Source organism: Homo sapiens, chromosome 1, assembly GCF_000001405.40.
Source record: "Homo sapiens chromosome 1, GRCh38.p14 Primary Assembly".
Lineage (NCBI taxonomy): Eukaryota > Metazoa > Chordata > Mammalia > Primates > Hominidae > Homo > Homo sapiens.
The window spans coordinates 178,430,467-178,451,147 of record NC_000001.11 but is presented as its reverse complement, the minus strand read 5'-3'; the positions used below and the strand labels follow the sequence as shown (position 1 = coordinate 178,451,147).

Below are 20,681 nucleotides of genomic sequence, written 5' to 3'. Positions count from 1 at the left end.
CTAATGTTGGTGCCAAACACGGATGCAAGTAAGGATCTATCTTCTATGTTTACCTCTTGTAACGGAGACAGTCATTCAACATTGCACAATAATATAGCAGATCTCCTTACATAATCTGTATATGCTTTTCCATATAAATTTAGTTTAGAAGCCGTGTTCATACGGCCTATGCTCTATGAAGATACACCCACTATTCCCTGAAAGAACAAATTCCTACCTTACCTGTTTATCCTCTAGTATACACCATACCTTGTATATCTTCGACTACTTCATATTTCTCATTATTTGTGTTTGTTTCATTCCTAGGATGAATACCTTCAGAGGTTAGGTACTAGGTTTTATTCATGTTCAAATCTTGACTCTTCTGAATAGCTCCCAAAATGTTACAGGTGCTCAATAAATATTTATCAGAGATGGCAGTATGTATTCTTGGTTTTTTATAGGTCTTTATGAAAGAGGAGTGGATCTTTCAAAGATCCTCCTAAATATGTGTTTATTACTTGAGGTTCAGGCTAGTTATAACAGACTTCATGAAAGTGAACAATAATGCCTGCAAAACTAAGTAGCAGCATCAGCAGCAGAAAGAGCATTTCTATCAAAGTGGTTAGTATTTGGATAAATGAAAGCTTTTAAAAATACCCGTGACAGGAGATGAGAAGCGATAATTTTGAGGAAAAATGCTTAGAGAACAGGAAACAATGTGGTATACAGAAAGGAAAGTGGTGCACAGAAAAATTAAAGGCATTGAGGTCAGAGATCTAGGCTCAAATCCGGATCCATCATTTAACTGACTGTGGGGCCTGGAAAAGTCACTTAATTCGTCTGAGTTTCAGCTGTCTTGTTTGTAAAACAGTGTTAATAGCAATCATCCTGTAGAGTTGTGGTGAGGAACAGACATAATGCATGAAAAGCATCTAATATGGTACCTGGCTCTTAGTAGGTGCACCATACAAAAAGTATTTTAATTTAAAAATCATGCAACTTTTGAATAATTTTTTGTCAGGTGAAATGGCCAAAACTAGTAAAAGACTGTTTTAAAATGTTATCAATTCTCCCAAGATATGTAGTCAATATGTTCTCTATGTCTCCTGTGCTATGTGTTTCCACAATTAAACTTCATTTAAAGAGTACCTAAATTTAAAACTAAGAAATCAATGTCAAATATCCCATGTAAAAACTGGCCAAACTCTACACCTGTATCCTAAATATTCTGTTTAGTGACTTCTTTTAGGTTATATGTATTCAAGGGAAAAAATACTAATATTAATAAAAAACATGAATATTAACCATATTTTTCTTTAATTCTTCAAGAAAAGTGCCAGATAAATAACTCCAGGGCCCAGAAGTAAATTAATTGTCTATAGTACCAGCTTAAAAAGTTTTTGTCCCTGATTATCACATATTTAAAATGCTCCAAAATAGAAAAATAATACTTTAACTGTTGAAACAATAACCAATGTTTGAGCATGCAGAATGTACCATATTGAAAGGAGAGGCTTTTATTGATTTGTAACTAGAAGGTGCTTAATTACCAACACAGATTAAAAAACCCACTTAAGTTTGCCTTCTTGCATTTGAAAAAAAAACCAGAGCCAAAGGGGGTGCTTGTTATGTTGTTTACATGTTAAGTTTGTGCCCAGAATGTTCTATGATGTATTTTCTATGTAAATCATTAACTCATTACTATCTGGCATAAAAATTTCACATGTAGGAATAAGTCAACAAGGATGGACATATTACTGCCGAAAGAAACCTGCCTCCACTGCTACAAGTGGAAATCAGGTCTTTTCATCAGGGCTTTCTTTAGTGTATCTCACAGATAGTATTTCCTGTGTGTCACAGGATACCAAGGTGCAATCTGATTTCAATTGGAAAGGTAAAATGGGATAATAGATGGAAGATTCAAGTCTAAACAATGCAGAGTCTGTGCAGAAAGAGTGACGCTTTAATTAAGATAAGGACTGGCTAAGAAGCAGACAGATATCGTACACTATTACTGGCAACTTTTAAAATCAATTCTCTCTGAAAATTCTTCAAGCAGTCTGGAAACAGCATCTATTTCCTGCCCAAAGTATATGAAATATAGCAAAACTTTAACGAGAAGAAGACAATACAGCCCCTGTCCTGAAGAAGCTTACCAATTAATTCTGCTTATGCTCTTAGAAGCAGCAGCCATTTTTACTACTCTGGCCCTTGCTCTTGGATTATAAATATTATTACAGAGATTTCTGAGGGGTTAATTGAATTTCTTTCCATGTCCACTGAATTAATTTTCATGCCTCATTGAGCCCATCGGCCATTTAATCATTCACTGTTATAAAAAGACTAGTATCCACTTTTCATTTTGGAAATTATTTCATTCAGAAATCCTGTTTAGCACACTGAATTTCAAATATGAATAATTGATTTCAAAGAAGCAGATAGTCAATAAATACTCACTCCTATCTCCATAGAATGGAGAATACGGTTTGAGATGCTTTTTTTTTTTGGTGGACTTTTTTAACAAAACACAAATCATTAAAGCAAATCATGAGATATAATTTATGGCTGTAATAAGCTCTTTATGTAAATGACACTATAAACCTCTTTGTACTTTTCTTAAGCTCTTTGTACCATTCTTAATGTCTATATGATTAGAGAAAAAAATATGAAGATAAGCAGGAAGACAAAAAATCTGCTTCAGAGCAGAAACTAATTGTAGTAGCTACTATAATGTGTCTGCTTCATGTAAACACAGTGATCCTGTTTCTTGAATGGCGACTCACTCTATTCCTTACAGCCTGCCTCCTTTCCTCCTGAAACCAGTGTGAGCCATCACTAGTGATATTTAAGGTGCCAAATGCAATATCCATTCTTTTTCTTTACCTTCCATAATTTCTGACTCTACTGATGCTCTCTTCTCTATTGGTATCTAGGACTCAGTATTTTCCTGGTTTTCTTTCTTTTTTGGATGCTCTCTCTTTCTCTGATCACTTCTCTGATTCCTCTTCTTCATTCTATACCATAAACCCAGGTGCACTCTAAGATCTATCCTTGGCCCTGTTCTCTTCCTGCTCTGGTAATCTTACAGCTTCATTTAACCTCTCCACAAGCATAAATTAGTCTCAAATTTCCAACAGCCAGCTAGACAGGTATCTTAGATTGCCTATCTAAAACCCCTGAGATTTCCTACTAGAACTTCAAATTGAATATATATGTAATTTCCACTGTTTCACACCTACTACTTCTGTGGTTTCTATTCCTGTTAAGAATCTCATCATCCCCCTAGTCACTCACAACACCCCACAATTCTCTGTAATATTCGTTCCCTCCTTGCTTCCCACAAACTGAAAAATTTGCCAAGTTCTATCAGTTCAACCTTAATATTTCTCATATCCGTCTTCCTCTCTATTCTTACTTGCATGATTACAGTCATTCAGAGTCTCATTCTTTCTTATTACAATGGCTTTTTTTTTTTTTTTTTTTTTTTTTTTTAAGAGAAGGAGTTTTGCTCTTGTCTCCCAGGCTGGAGTGCAATGGTATAATCTTGGCTTACCGCAACTTCCACCTCTCTGGTTCAAGCAATTCTCCTGCCTCAGCCTCCTTAGCTGGGATTACAGGTGCCCGCCACCATGCCTGGCTAATTTTTGTATTTTTAGTAGAGATGGGGTTTCAGCATGTTGGCCAGGCTGGTCTCGAACTCCTGACCTTGGGTGGTGGGCCTGCCTCGGCCTCCTAAAGTGTTGGGATTACAAGTGTGAGCCACCGCGCCCAGCCTACAATGGCTTCTTAATTGATTGGCTTTCAGTAGGCTTTCTTCACCTTTATTTATTTATTTATTTTTTTTAAGACAAGGTCTTTCTCTGTCACCCAGGCTGGAGTGCAGTGATGTGACCATAGCTCACTGCTGCCTCGAACTCCTGGGCTCAAGCAGTTCTCTTACCTTGGCCTCCTGAGTAGCTGGAACTATAGATGTGAGCCACCATGCCTGGATACAACTCGTCTTAATCAGTCTGCTAAGTTAATTCCACTGAAAACACCTGCTCAAAACTTTCAGTGGCTCTCCAGTTATTACTGTAAACTTTAAATCTTCACCCAGGCATTTGAGGTTTTCACAAATTAGTTCTAATTATTGTTTAATCTTTTTGTTGTTGTTGTTCACATGTTTCTTTCATGTCTTTTTCCAGCTAAATAGTTTTATTCCACACATTCCTGGTTCTGTCCCACCTCTATGTCTTTTTGTTTATGGGTCCTTTCCCCCATGCTACTTCTTATCTTATCTGCTCTTGCTCAATGTCTGTTTTTAACCTTTCTATTCATCAAACTACATACAAAACATAAATGTATTTCACACAGAAAGTTTGACAATTCTATCAGCTGGATTCAATTTTTTTAAAATTATTTGAAAGAACACAGAATGTCTCTTTTTGGTATAGAGATATCCCTAATGTTATATCCTTACATTGCAAACTTCTCGAGGGTAAAAATCTCTCCAATCATTCAACATGTTTTTACTTTCTATTCTTGATAGTCACACGTGGCTGTTGAGCATTAGAAATGGCTTGTGCAAATTAAAATGTGTGATACATGTGAAATACACACTGATTTTCAAAAAGAATAAAAAAGTAAAACACCTAATTAATAACTTTTATTCTTCTAAACCATTAAATAGTATTTGGATATACTGGGTCAAATGAAATATGTTATCAATTTCACCTGTTTCTCTTCATCCTTTTTAATACTGTGACTACTAGAAAATTTACAATTACTCAAAAAATAAAAATAAATAAAAGTATTCACACATGGGTCATATTTCTATCGGACAGTGCTGCTCAACAGTGTGTGCAGGTAGTGGGGATATGGAGGTAAAACAAAGGGCTATTTCCTTCAAGGAACTCACATCTGCTCTATCATGATGTATATTAAAGTGACCAGCACAGTACCTTACTCTAGCGGTTAATGCCTCAATTTCATGACCAAATCTGGAACTGCAAGTGCGTAGCCTAGTCAGCAAGAACTACTGATTGGACAAAAATTAGTTATGTTAAAAATTCTAGAGAAAGGCAGAAATTTGTGGGGGAGTTGTGGGAAGTGGCAAGAGTTTCTTCACTTTTGATTAGAGTTTTGCATGCATGATAACAAATGTCAGGGTAACACTCTCAAGACTAGGTAATAATATCATCATATAAACACCCAAAACTTTGGGCAAAACAGACCACCTCAGATCTATCAGTGGACACTGCTGATATTACTGTGCATCCTGGAATCATGAAGCTGGGGACCTGGGGTAGCAGTGTATGCTGACAAGGTTTCTGTTTCTACATTTATTATTATTTCTCTACTGGTGAGTACTGCAGACTTCTTACAGCCATGATTCAAACCTTAACACCTGAGTCAGCTAGAACTAAATAACATGCAGAATTTGAGCTCAATTCGTCTCATGGGGGTGAAATAGCTTAAAACTGAAAAGTAAATAAAAGAAAATAGATGTTTTTCTCTTTCATACCCAGTGCGTCATGAAGATACTGTTGTCCCACCAACTTGAGGTATTCCTCAATGGATTTGGTGGCAATAGTGTTCTCTCTGAAGATCAAGACATCATGCTCTCCACAACGATCCACCTCAGACATCACCAAGTCAGTCAGAAAATCCTGGTAGAATAATGTTCAATCAGGCAGAAAGCAACTGAATAAATAATACACATTAGAAGAGACTTTTGAAATATCAGACATCCTGGAAATGCTGCTTTAAAACTAAAGCTATCAGATTCATCTGAAAGGAAAAAAAGCAATCAGGATAAAATGTTAGGTGTTCCTACCCCTACATTTAAAATTCCCTCAAAGATTTTCCATTGCACTTTTGATAAAGGCCATAATTCTGAATGCAGTCTACAAGTCCCTATATTTTCTGGTTTCTGTCTACCTTTCAAGCCTTGTACCTTTTCTTTTTAGGTCCTTTAATACACCAAGCCCTTTCTAACACACACAATGTTCTCTATTCACCACAAAGCCTTTTTTTTTTTTTTTCCAAATACTGTTCTCAGTTCTGCTCTGCTCCCACCCTTGCTTCCACTCCCACTGTCAGGTAGCTCATTCCTGGGATCCTTTGGATTTTAGTTCACACATCATTTCCTCAGTGAAGGTGTCCCTGACCAACATTGCCCCTGAACTCCATTAGTCAGCTCCCCTTGCTCCATTTCATAGTATCATCTCTCTTTTTATCCTCTGTAGTTCTCACTGTAATCATATTTATTTCTGTAATTACTTGATTAATATTTATTTTCCCCAGAAAACCAGTTTCTGTTTTTGTTTACCACCATATCTCCAGCACCTAACAGTTTCTGGCATATATTAGGTGTTCAATATATAATACTTACAAATCGGTCCACAGTGTCAATGTAGAATCTACTGAACTCATCACTTGAAGTCATTGTCTAGGCTATCTTTCTGTCTGCCCGCCCACCCATCCATCCGTCCATCCATCCATCAATCCAGAAGGATAGCATAAGGGGAAATAAAGGTGCAAAGAAACAGCTGCTTCATTCCTCAACAGTCTTAAAGAACTTCTAGTAAAGCTCAATGTTGGTTGTTCAGTTTGAATGTGATAACATCATATATTTTGAATGCTATATAATTATTGGATATTTCAAGGGCTGCAAATGCCAAAATAGGAGGAATATGCTGATTTACTTTTACTTTAAAATTAAGCATTTTAAACATCAATGGGACTTACTCTGGGGCAGCTTAACAGTATAACAGAGTTGTAGACTTAGGAATCACTATTAAACTTAATGCTAAGAGACAGGAGGAAACTCTTGGGGGTAACGGTAACATTCTGTATCTTGATCATAGTGGTGGTTTCGATGGGTGCAAAATCGGTCAAAGCTTACTGAACTTTTCCACTTTAAATGGGTGTTTATTCTACCTAAAATGTACGTAAATCAGTATTAAGTCATTTAAAAAAGTCTTAATGTATATTCTGAACCTTGAGCAACTGAAAAGTAGAAATATATCCATACAATTCAAAATTTCAGTGACACCTCGCTCCAAACTCATAAGCTTTTTAATGACAGAATGCCCAAGATTATCATAAGTAAATTTAAACACAAAAGTTATAATCCATAGAAGCCAGATAAGAGACTAAATATTGAATATATTGATATATTCCGACATATCAAGAAATAGTAATAGTACTTTGTTTGGTTCTAAATACATTATTCTAGCTGTGAGTTTCTTTGGATCTGAGATGTAATTTTATCATGACCAGTTTGCATACAGTATAACGGTAACTCTTCCTAGTTAATATCCTTCATAGGTCAAAGACTCTCTCAACTAGTTTTTGTTCTTCCCACAACCAGCATATTTCTCCTTTAAATAAAAAATATTCCTGAGTTTTTACTTCTATCCAAGGTGAAATAAGTGTATCATGAAACAGCTACCAATTGTATCATATCCCTTGGATTTTTATTCTAAATATAGATTTTAATCCCACAAAGACTCTTGCTAATACTCAATATGCTTCTGGAATACTTCCTTCTGTGCCTAGAGGATACAGTCATCAGTTAAACTTAAATAAAATACAGTGAGGAAGAAAACCACCATACAACACTCTAGAACTAAATTAAAGATAAGGAACCTTGAACATGCTGTAGGGTTATCGTGCCAATCCTACCATTTATTTTGTCAGACAAGAAAGAGCTGGCTGTGTTATCTATGTTTCATGCAAATTGGCTTTAAATATTTGCTGGTCTCTCCATTTTACTTGTTTAGTTTTATAATCTTCATCTTTTCTGGATCTAATAGGTTTTCTTCTTAATTCTTCTTGTTTTGACCAATAGTAAAGCACATTTCTCTAATTTGGATTTCTACAATATCCATATCTTGGTTTATGAAAGGTAGGGAAGAGACTTCAGGTACTGCAATCCCCCTTTTCCACTTACCTTGGCTCTGCCAGTACTTTGAAGAATGTGCACTAAGGCACAAGCCAACTCCTCTTTATTTCTCACACTAATTACTGGCTCAAGGACAGAACACAGCATGGTGTAGTTGCTGGTGACAAATTCTGCAAATTCTTTGTATTGCTCCATAGGCAGAATGGTGATAGTTTGGAAACGTGATTTAATCCGAATAGAAGGTCCTCCTGTCTTTCCTTTGTTGGGTGTAGGTGTACTCACTGGATACCACTTTTCTACAAATTGGCGACCAGTCACACTGGCAGTGGGGATGTTGACTAGCCCTACATAATTATTCTTGTCCTTTTTTTTCTTTTTTTCCACATCCTTGTAAATGTGAACTGTGATACTATGAAGAGGTGGAAGGCTGAAGAATTCAAAATGTTCGCCCCAGAAAATATTGTCTGCTTTGGTCTTGCTGGTTGTACGAGCAAAGAGGGTATCATCAAGGCACAGTTCGCAGAAATATTTCTTTTTAGGGGCAAGGTCCTTGGCTTCAATGATCCATAAACGAAGAACATTTTCAGCTCGCCTGCAATTGTCCTATAAAGAGGCAACAAAGCTGAATTTCAGAGCTGACATTGCAGAAAAAAAAACATTTTTTTCTTAAGTTGGCAATGTTCATTAGGTACTCTATTAAGGGGAGTCAACAAATAATGAAAGGGATTGCTATCTCATTGCTTAGGTTAACAGCAAGCTCTAAACAAGCATGCATTAGAATCTTGAAGAATTATATATAGTTCATTATATATATTATATATAGTTCATTCTATTTTATTTACTTGGGTTAAGAAAATATCATTTTGTAACGGTAAGTTTTCATATAACCAGTCTAATATCTGCAAATAAAAGAGATAAGCTGTTAAGAAGCTCGTATTCTAGTCCCTCTTCTATCATGTACTAGCTTCTGACATGGCCAATTCACCTAACTTTTCAGAGTCCTTTTATCCATGCTGGTAGAACCATGGCAATAATATCTGCAGTAAGACTGCTTTTAGCTTAAAATGATAATACAGTTTGGATAGTTGTCCCTGCCCAAATTTTATGTTGAATTGTAATCCCCAGTGCTAGAGGTGGGGCCTGGTGGGAGGTGTTTGGATCATGGGGGCAGATTCCTCATGCCTTGGTGCCATCTTCCTGATACTGAGTTCCTGTGAGATCTGGTGGTTTAAAAGTGTGTGGCACCTTCCCCCCAAGTCACTCACACACACACTCTCTCTCTCGCTTGCTCCTGCTTTCACCATGTGATGTGCCTGCTCCCCTTCTGCCTTCTGCCATGACTGTAAGTTTCCTGAGGCCTTACTAGAGGCTGAGCAGATAACAGCACCATGCTTCCTGTAAAGCCTGCAGAACCGTGAGCCAATTAAACTGCTTTTCTTGATAAATTACCCAGTCTCAGATACTTCTTTATGGTGATATAATAAGGGCTTACTACAAATGGCATAACATATAAATGTGCTTTAAAACTCTCAAGCTATAGACAAATTAAGGTATTACTACCACACTTACCTTCTATCAATTAACTGCTTACAAAGTTATACATTTTTTAGATACTTGAAGCTACTATTACCTTATTAGGTTGAACTGTCCTGCGAAGGTTTTCCATCCACTTGTCTCTCTCAGAAGCAGAATTACAGCTGAAGCATTTACTTCCACTTAAGTAGGTAACCTTCAACATAAAAATTAGACATAAGAAAAAGAAAACACTGGATTTCAGGGCTCTGTCATTAGGGTTCACAGCATACCTCTAACTCTTAAATGATAAGGTCGAAATGTCCTGGAATTAGGATGGATGGATGGATAGATAAGAAAAACATGGTCTCAGATCCCAAACTACTCATGCTGTGGTTACAAAAATAACCTAATGAGCGACATCCTTACCAATACTAAAAAATTAATATACTAATTTAGTGTTATTGTTAGTCTCATCCTCTGACGAAAATGTACTAAGAGTCCAATTTTATTGAAAGTAGACAAGGCCAAAAGGAATGCAAAGCTGTGAGTTAGACATATGCTATGAACCTAAATCATACCATAAGAAACTAAGATGATCTTTGCTAGTTTTCCGATACTTATATCTACATCTACATCTGCTTTTTGCTTAGGTAGCATCCACATCCATTTCCAGGTATGAGAACAAAGGCCATTTTAAATTCATCCAAGGAAATTAAAACTGGCCTATGGTTCAGAAAAATCAAAATTAAAGGCCTTTTAGGCAATAACTTAAATTACCTGCAAATAAATATGTTCAACTTTGAGTTAGTAAAAAATAGGTAATAAAGGATGAGAGTTTCTGAAACAGCTTATCAGATTTCTTGAGACTGTCCTCACTATATTATAGAAGGGTGCTAAATGAAATTGAAGAGTTACTAATATTGAATTACTATCTTTGGAACCCATTTTTCCTCCACTACGCAACCAGCCTGTTGATTTCTAGTCATTTATTAGGTTAGCCTGACCACTATTAACACAGTCCTTTAAAAATGAAATATGTTGTTATATACTTAGCACCTAACTCTGGGCTTGATATACAGCCTAATGAACTGAGTTCCGCAAATACAAGAAAGTTCAACTGATTTTTATAAAAAAGAACACCAATAAATGTCTTGCCCAAATTGCTGAAGTCTGCTCACTTATTAACTCAATCTCTGGTCACAACCTAATAAATCCGATCAGATTATATGCTCTGTCCAATACAGCAGCTACTAGCCTCACATGGCTATTCCAGATTGAGATGTGCTGCAAGTGTAAACACACATCAGATTTTGAAGACTTAGTTTTAAAAAAAAAGGAAACAATTTCTCTGATAGTGAACATGTTGAAATGATAATATTTTGGATATGCATGCAGATTGTACTATATTTCTTTTGGACAGTGCTGGTCCATAAGAAGAGGAACCAAACAAACATCTTTTGACTTCTACAACATCTAGTATAGGACTCATCTGTAGTCACTTAGTAAGCTCTTGTTAATTAATCAAATCTCAGCCCTAATAATTCTATGTATGTATAAATACATGTATATATAGTTTTTGAATTTTACTTGTAACTGGCTAGTAGTACATATTTGGAAGGGAGAAATTACCTTATGATAGTTGGCAATTTTGTTTATTCAAAAATCAGGCACCTGCAATGTGCTGGGGTCTGGGTTAGTTACAGGGGATTTCAAAAATAAATAAGACATTTAGGTCAAAATGTCCTGGAATTAGGATGGATGGATGGATGGATGGATGGATGGATGGATGGATGGATAAATAAGAAAAACATGGTCTCAGATCTTGAACCACTGATGCTGTGGTTAGAAAAATAACATGATGAGTGACATCCTTACCAATACTAAAAATTAACATAGTAATGTAATGTTATTGTTAGTCTTGTCCCCTGATGAAAATGTACTAAGAATCAAATTTTACTGAAAGGAGGCAAAGCCAAAAGGAATGCAAAGCTATCTTTAATAACTTTAACTGCAAATATGATTAGATGAAAAGATTTCTAACTTTTTCTCTGTAAGTAGATAATTTCTAGCAACTGAAAACCAGTTAATTAAATCATCAACTGTACAGCAATGAAATCGCAAAATTACTGGACATAAAATCCAATTGTTGTTTAACTACTCTTCCTTTTTTCTACACTTTATTTTTACCTCAAAGCAGAAGTCTTGTCCAAGGATGCTACTATGAAGTGGTTTCACTGATACAGGTTCCCCTCTACCAAGATCCAGACATTCCACTGTGCTGCATGGGCTCAGCAAGGATTCATGGGAACGTGACTCTTTTAGTTTAGGCAGCCCACGAGACCTAAAAGTAGAAAAAGATATTTAAGGTAGTGTAACTTGGCCAGCAAGGAAATGAAGGTCTAATGCAATGGAGGATAACAATAAATGTACAAATGCCTAAGGGAAGAAATAAATGAGGAACAAATTAATAGTTAATCTACAGTAACAATAATAGTAATCATATTTATGTGGCAAATATATTCTCTCTATATATCTATGTGAGTGCACACACACTTTTTTTCAATATGGCATAAAAATATACTATAATTTTACTAGTCTTGAGTGACCTTCAAATCCCATTACAGAAATTGTTTTTTATTCTTATTCCTATTTTGGAAGACGGAGAAATATATACTCTTTAAGGTTATCTTATATATTCTTTCTTATGCAAAGGTATTGCCAAAAGACAAATGATTTCTTTTTGTTTTTCATGTTATAGCTTTATCCTCTTATATGATTGACAGAATAGTAGTGGCTGAATCTTCATTTTGTTTCTTTCTACTTTGGCAAAACACACACACACACACACACACACACACACACACACACACACACACACACAGAGTCGAAGCTCAACTTTTTATCACAAGACCTTGTCTTTCAAAAGTCCTGATTTCCATCTCAATATAGAATTCTTTTCTGGCAGGCTTTTGGTTCAATACATGCTTTACTATATAAGCATGAATAAAGAATAAAATGCCTTGAAGAAACCTCCCAGCATGGAAAAAAAAGCCCAAACTCTCATCTAGAAGAGAGATCTTTGTCAACACCGTTCAGTCATCCTGGCTGATTTTGTTTCCTAGTTGCTTATAAGAAGAATGCTAGGAATCATGACTTGTCACTACAAGAGCCAGTACTTCACTGCCTTCCTCTTGAAAGAATTAAAGGAGTCAAACGTAAGTACAATATTCTTGAATCCCAAACTGGATGGCCATGCAGTTTGACTCAATAATTATAGTATCTATTGAAGTAAACACCCAGAGTTACACACATATATTTCAAGCAGAAGTACTTAGTAATAAGGATAAAAAGAAATGCCTTGTGTAAAGACAATTGTTTTTATAAAACACATTAAATAAGTAGCTTCATTTAATTCCTTGAAATAACCACATTAACACTAAAAGGAACTTAAATATTTAATGCCAGAGTAGCTTTTGGTTAAATTATAAAGTAAAAAGATATAAGAAACTAGCACTAAGGCTGCTTTCTCCTTTCTACCTTTATTCTAACACTGTTTAATCAAATTTCATAAAATAAGAAAAATCTTAAGCTTATAAGGATTTTAGTTCTTCTTCTTTCCACACACACACACACACACACACACACACACACACACACACAAGCCACCATTTAAAGTTTAGGCTGCAAAACATGTGTTCTGATATTTAGTAATTTTTAAAGTAAAAAAGTCAACATTTATATTTCTTGTTGACAGTACAAAGTATGCACAAAAGGGACAAATGCTACCTAATGTTTTGTATCTTAAAATGACAATGTTTATTTTTCTGATATTGGGCAAGAACAAAAAATTAAAATATTTAAAAATTAAAAAAACAAAAAAGAAAAATATAACAATGTAAGCTCCATATTTATTTCCTTCTGTTCTATGTATAAGACAATGACATGTTATGTACTGCAAATATAGTACATCAACTATAAATAATTAAATGTTAGAAAGATTGTACTTTAATTATCATATAATCTTTCCCAATATGCTACACGGGAAGCCTGATTAAGGAAACTGGACACTGTAATCTTTCTTAAACAAAACAACAATTCTAGCTCATTTTTCCCAGGAGGAGTTGCTGGGAGGAAAAATCCTCTCATGCTCTGGGGTGAGCTTCTCAACAGGAAAGATTAAGGCATGTTTAAAACAGAAGGAGGTATGACAAAGGCAACTTTTATTTTTTAAATTCTCTAGGAAAAATTTCTAAAGCATAAATTAATTTTATTTCAAACAAAATAAACGTCTACCTACATGAAGCAATGGTAGAGCCACCTGGCAGTGCAACCCCAAATCATAGCGGTGCCACATGTCCCGGTATAGCAAGTCACTTTCTGAACTATATGTCAGAAAACAACTCTCTGTTTAGAAGACGAGAACAAATAGAAGATGGCTTCTTTGTTGCCTTTGGTTACTGATAAAATCTTTGAATAAATGTTTTCCAGGTGTTATTTCAAGTCTTCCATAGAAGCAGAACAGAAACACAAACAACAGATCAAGACTTCATCTATCCAAACAATTTGTAGGATAGGTAATATTCCTTATTCTATTCCTTCAGGCTGCACCCAGCCCCTCAGGTAACAAACAAGGCACCTGGGCTCTAGGCTGGGTCTGTTGCCATGGTGCTACACCTATAAGGAGATTAGAGCTGGAAGGCAGCAAGAAGCTATGGCTTGAATAACGCAAGGGGCATGCTCTGCAAACATGGCAAAGTTGACTACTTTAAGACAGAAAGGAAGGAATGGTGAGGCTTCTATCCATTTCTATGAACAAGTTCTCAGTAAAAGGCAATAGAAAAGAGACGAGGCCAACTCTGGGAGTGGGAGATAATCTCTTATTAAAACCTCTACTAGGTGGCTCACACCTGTAATCCCAGCACTTCGGGAGGCTGAGGTGGGCAAACCACTTGAGTTTAGCAATTTGAGACCAGTCTGGGCAACATGGTAAAACTCCAACTCTACCAAAAATACAAAATAAATAAAAAATAAAAAGTAAAACCTCTACTAGGGACTAACTTGAGAAACTTTAGCTTGCTTCATATACAATTCCCATGCCCCTACTAGAAGCTATTTCCTATATCTCACCTTGCAAGTACAAAGCTTTCTCTCACATGTATTCTGTTTCCTTTACAGTGCCTACCGTGGTTTAATGTTTCTAGGTATTATTTTACTGAAACTTACCTGGCTTACATATATTTTCTTCTTTTACAGAAAGATGGTGAAAACTATTTTTTCACTGTATTTCCAGTGCTGAACAAGTTTCATTTTGATACTCAGGTCTAACTTCAAATGTAGCCATAAGAGAATTTAAAACTAAGCCACTTAGAATTATAACTCCAAACTCTTCCTAGTTACCGAAATTTTAATTAATACATAGTTCAGAATGTCATATCTTTTGGCATTTTTATGTGTGTGTGTACTGAATTGAAAACCAAAGTCACGAATATATTCAACATTATTATTGAATAAATAAGCAAGCCCTCCCTGTATTGGGAAGAAAGTATCTCTAAGAAGACAGAAGTAATTCCCAGAGAAGCAAGATTATAGTAAACAGGAAGATCAAACAGCCTGGGACTGGCTTGGGACAGGGGAGGCATTATTTGTACAAATATTTCAATGTAATAGCATTAGTAACCCCAAGTTTCCTCTAATTCATGTTTACCTCCTTCTGAATTGATTTTTCTTAGATCTACTAACTACAGAGTTTTAGTAGCCCTGTTTGGCACCAGAGTTTACTCCTCTAACAGAAAGCAGAATGTGGATTTATTGGGAGAATAATGAGTTTAAAATAATGATTCCCAGTCCAATCTGACAATGGCCTTCATCAAAAAATCTAACCCATCCTTGAAAGTGGACTTTGTGAATCCCTTGACTACTGGCCAGGTTCTCTCCCTGACTACTTCCCATACTGCCCCATCATCCTGAACACCATGTAAGAATAATTCAGGGCTCCAACAGACTATGTATTGATTTAAATAAAAAACTGCTTCCCAGAGGCAATTTTACTTCTAATTAAGGCACACCATATTCTTTATATTTTTATCTTAAGGTCAGCAGACAATCTTGATTTCTGTGTAAACTTCAAGACCTCTAGCAATGTGATAGGTAATGGTTAAAATCTAATTGCTTTGCTGATGAAAATTACCTGCTGCTTCTGACTTATTTAAGAAATAAACTACTAGCCAGGTGAGGCTTTCTATTACTCACTAAAGTGAATGAGTATTATATTGCTTGAATCCTCATCCCTATATGAAATCAGTCTTAAAAGATAAAAGTGAAGGGCTGGGAGATGGGGAGCCAACATTCACATAACAGCAGATACACTGGTGAAGAAAAAGAGGAATAAAATAACACTGATTAGTGCAATTTTAAGTAAAACACAGCTGGATTTTCTCAGCTTAACTGGCCAATTTTTCAGAATGCCACATTTCCCCCACAGCTCCAATGAGGCTTGGTGGTGCTAGCTCAATCTGCTACATGTTTACAGATTAAGTTCCAAATTTAGGAATTGGGAAACTTTTAATTAAAAATGCTTATTGCCACATAAAATCCTGGACTCCAGTGCAGGTGAGTTTCTGCTTGGCTTGGCAGTTGTGATTCCAGACTGCTTCAGTGAATTCCTGATGAGATAGCTCAGCCAGTAAGCTGGGTGCAGCAACATACTGTTGTATTCACCAGTATGCATTTCTAAGGCACTCACTTTGTTTAAAAATGTCCTAGGTAGTAATTAACAAAATTGGGTACCCTAATACTCTACCAGCAAGTTTATATAGTGTCTAATCAGTTTTTTAAAAATTGAATTTGAGCTTTCACTTTGGGAAAAATGTAGCTTTACTTGCTCCCTGGATTTTATTATTTTCCAATTAGGTATTTTGTGAAAATCTTCAACTGATGTTTGCCATTTGAAAGTGCACATCCTTTCTTGTATTATAATTTTAAAGGTTTTCCTCCCTGGATTAAAAAAAAAAAGAAATTAGAGCTCATTCGCCAGAGCTCTACTTATGTGCAAAGACTTGTTCAGCCTGAGGATCCTGACAGCACCAGCTGAGCTGGTTTACCTGCTGTAGTTAAAGCCAGTAGTCTCTACTGCTTATATTACTCACTGATTTTTATGTTAGCTTAAAAATATGTACCACACCACTCACATTAAAAAGCTATTTATGGAAACATAACATATAGGTCTTACTTCTCCCTGCTCTCAGCCTCTAGGACAGGATGGTCTAATGGGACCAGCTGGTAATGATGAAGAAGGATATTTGTCAGCCTGAGTTGTCACTCAAAATGAGAAACTCATGGTAAAGAAATGTATCAGCATAGACAAAAATATCCTTACCTACTTTGTACTTGGTACATATACATGTATACACACAGTGAAGGTGGATACAGAAGGAAGACTAGATTATAAACATTAAGACATATTCTAGGGAGTAGAAAATCCAACTTGCCTCCAATATGATAGACACTAGGGAACAATTCCTTTACAGAAACTGTACCATGTTATAACATATCTTTTTGTCCTTAAATTGCAAAGGTAATATAATCTACTAGCACCTATTAAACAAATTCAATATAAACACAACTACATTGAATTTTAAAAAACAGAAACTAAACCAAACCAAACCAAACTCGTAATCCAACTCAAGTAACATACCAGTAAGAGTGGACAGACTACAGCTTTTATTTCCTTATTTCTGATTTCAGTTGCTAGACTTTTAGTCTCATAATTGCCATAAAAGTAATGGGTAGAAGGATAAGAGAGGAAAAAAACTGGTGAAGTTCAATAACACTGACTTTTTTTTTTTTGAGACATAGTTTCTCTCTTGTTGCCCAGGCTGGAGTGCAGTGGTGCAATCTCAGCTCACTGAAACTTCCGCCTCCTGGGTTCAAGTGATTCTGGTGCCTCAACTTCCCAAGTAGTTGGGATTACAGATGTGTACCACCAACCACTCCCAGTTAATTTTTGTATTTTTAGTAGAGACGGGGTTTTACCATGTTGGCCAGGCTGGTCTTGAACTCCTGACCTCAGGTGATCCGCCCGCCTCAGCCTTCCAAAGTGCTAGGATTACAGGTGTGAGCCAACATGCTTGGCAACACTGACTTTTTAGTAATTCCTAAACTCATAACTGATTTGCTTTCCCATTAGTTTCTCGTTTGGTTGAATAAATGAATATATGTATGAATCCATCTATCTAACCAATAATTACCTGGTGTGCATTATGGGTCAGGCACTATACTAGAGGTAGATGCAAGGAATACAAAGGTGAAGAAGAAAAGCACGGTCTGTGTACTCACACACAATTTATAATCTAGTGAGTTAACAATCCATTATAATACAATGTGACAAGACTTACGAAAAAGGATGCCAAAAAAGGCTCTATGAGCACTAAGTAGAGGATTTTAAGGTGGGGGTGGTTCAGAGAAGACTTCTTGGAGAAAACAGTAACACAAAGTTGTAACCATCTTCATGGGGATGGGGTGGATTTCACTATATGCAGGTGTGGAGATCTACAGAAAATGGATAGCATGTGAAAAGGCCTGTATGACAGTATGCAAGGCTGTGGTGTTCAGACAGTGAAAGAAATTCAGCAGTGTGGCTCTACTATAGTATGGATGTTAGAAGGAGAAGAGGCTGGGGTGTTGGAGTGGGTGAGGCCTGGTGAATAATGACGTTTGAGAGAGATCACAGACTTGTAGTCATGTGTGGGTATTTGAATTTGATCACAATACCAGTAGATGTACATCGGAAGGCTTTAGGTGGTAGAAGGGGAATTACATGGTAAGATGTGTGTCTCAGTAAAACTACCTTGGCTAAGGAGTGGAAAAAGAAAGGAGTACACAGAGAGTGGAGAGAAAAGAAATGAAAGACCTAGAAACCAGTTCATTGATTATGGTAGTAATCTGAGTAAAGATAATGAATTAGACTAACAGATATGGGGAAGAAGTAGATGGCACTGAGAGATATTTAGGAGGTAAATAGGCTTTGATGACTGGAATGCTGGAGGAATTGGGGAGAGGGTAGAGTCCAGGACAACTGCTCATTTCTGGCTTGAAACACTGGGTGAAAGATGGTGATGTCCTTCACAGGGATAGGAAAGAGGAGGCAATGCTGGTTGAGGTGAGAGTACAAATAAAATCAAGTTTTATACAAGTTGAGTTTGAGGTTCCTGTCGGGGTAGATGTGAACAGTGAAACAGAACATACATATTGAGAAGACAACCTAAAAACATAACCTGAGGCATGTTAACATTTAAAGCTACAAAACTGACAAAAGACACTGAAGAATTTGAGAAAGAAGAAAAACCAGGTGAGTCAAGTATCACAGAAGGCCAGGAAAGAGGGATCTCAAGAAAGGTGGATTAATAGTAGCCACTGAATTTGGGAATTGAATTTAGAGGTAATTGGAGACTTTGGCAAGAGCAGTTTCAGAAAAGAGGACAAAAATAAGATTTCAATGGGTTGAGAAAATGAATGAAATATGAGGAAGTGAAGATTAATTCCACAAGTCTGATTGTGAAGGGGTGACAACAGTAAAATAGCTAGAGGGAGACATGGGTTTGAAACAGGTTTTTTAAAAAAATTAATCATCTTTTAATTTTTCTCCTGAAACAGTAAGTGATAAATACTCTTGGTAAAAAATTCCAGGAGTTCAGAAGGATAGAAGGTAAAGAATAAAAAAAGGGTACCTCCCACAACCTCCTATAGAAAGGAGGCCATTAACAGTTTTTGTGAACCCAGAAATATTTTATACGAAGGTACCCATATATGTATATAATTATATAAAGTATGTAATATATAGCATATTACATATATTTATATAACAATATATTTGCATGTATTTAACATAATATACATAATTTATTTAAATACAAACATATATGTCTATATATACATATTCATTTACATAAATGGGATGGTACAATACTGTTTTTAAGAGAATATTTTGGACTTCTATCCATATTGGAACCTACAGATATACTTTGTCTCTTTGTAATGACCACATAGTATTCCTTTACATGAGCCTGTAATAATTTACAGTCCTTGATGACCATCTAAGTTTCCTTTTTTTGTGATTAGCAACAAAATTCAGAATATCTTACTACATATATCTTCATGCACATGTGCATACATTCATACTTCAAATTCTCAGATGTGAAATTGCTAGATCCAAGGGCATATGCATTTAAATTTTTGATATGGCTCAATTACCCTCCATAAAGACAACATCAATTTAAGTGTCTATCAGCAGTGCATGTTTCTACCTGCTATCTTCAACATGAGATGTGGCTGAACTTCAAAATCTTTTGCCTGTTTAATTGGTAAAAAATGGTATTTCATTATGGCTTTAGTGTGCATTTCTTTAATTATGAGATTGAGGACATTTGTACATGTTTATTGGCAATCTCAGTTCCCTTTTCTGTGAATTATAAACTGCTATTCCATGTTCTTAAACCATTTTCCTAATTGTTAAAATTAACTGATATGTAAACACTCTTTGTATATTAAGTAAATTAGTTCTTTTTCTGTCATATTTATAATTATTTCCCCCCAGTTTATGTTTACAAAGGGTTTTTAAATTCCAAGATCATAAGAAATAAGCTACATTTTCTTTTAGTGCTTTTAAGTTTTCATTCAATCCATTTGGATTTTTTGGCAGAGGAGGAGAGATGAAAAGAGTACAGTACGGAGTCAGCTTTGTATTTTTCCAAATTGCAGAAATATTATGATCATAAATTGACTCAATTATTACCGTATAGTATTCTGCTGGTATAAGAGGGGTGTGTGTGTGTGTGTGTGTGTGTGTGTGTGTGTGTGTACTTTTTTGCCTTTGTTTTTCCCTTCTTTCTTATTTTGTCAGCAAGTTAGGATTCGTATCAACACACACAACAAAGAGTATAATGGAAAAAAACACTCAAACTGAAGCCAAAAGCCCTACATATTCACATCAGCTAGAACCACTTATTAGCCATGTGACATGCAGTAAATAATTTATTCTTTCTGAACCTCAGTTATCTCATTTAAGATATGTGTAGATAATGTGGATAATGATTTCTCTTCCTACATCTCACACAGTTGTGAGAATCAAATGCAGTAATCTATAATTTCACATCTATTTCATAAACTGCAGTACAATACAAATGTGAAGGAGTAAGATTGTAGACACACAGCTTTTTTTGCAGTGATATGACATGCATTAGTTCATTTTATGTAAATTATTCATCTGGTTGAGATCAGGAAAGCTATTCTTGAATACACT

At 35.8% G+C, this 20,681-nt stretch overlaps 1 protein-coding gene across 19 annotated transcripts in view; it reads right to left on the bottom strand.

Moving 5' to 3' along the window:
• RASAL2 (RAS protein activator like 2) overlaps positions 1 to 20,681 on the bottom strand; it is a 384,747-nt gene that overhangs the window by 27,703 nt on the left and 336,363 nt on the right. For all 19 annotated transcript variants that reach the window (NM_001437625.1, NM_001437626.1, NM_001437627.1 and 16 more), the window contains 4 exons: positions 11,573 to 11,726; positions 9,501 to 9,599; positions 7,919 to 8,473; positions 5,486 to 5,630 (listed from right to left, as the gene is read on the bottom strand). In NM_001437625.1, the coding sequence (NP_001424554.1) occupies positions 5,486 to 5,630; positions 7,919 to 8,473; positions 9,501 to 9,599; positions 11,573 to 11,726 (953 nt within the window). The remainder of the gene's footprint in view (positions 1 to 5,485; positions 5,631 to 7,918; positions 8,474 to 9,500; positions 9,600 to 11,572; positions 11,727 to 20,681) is intronic.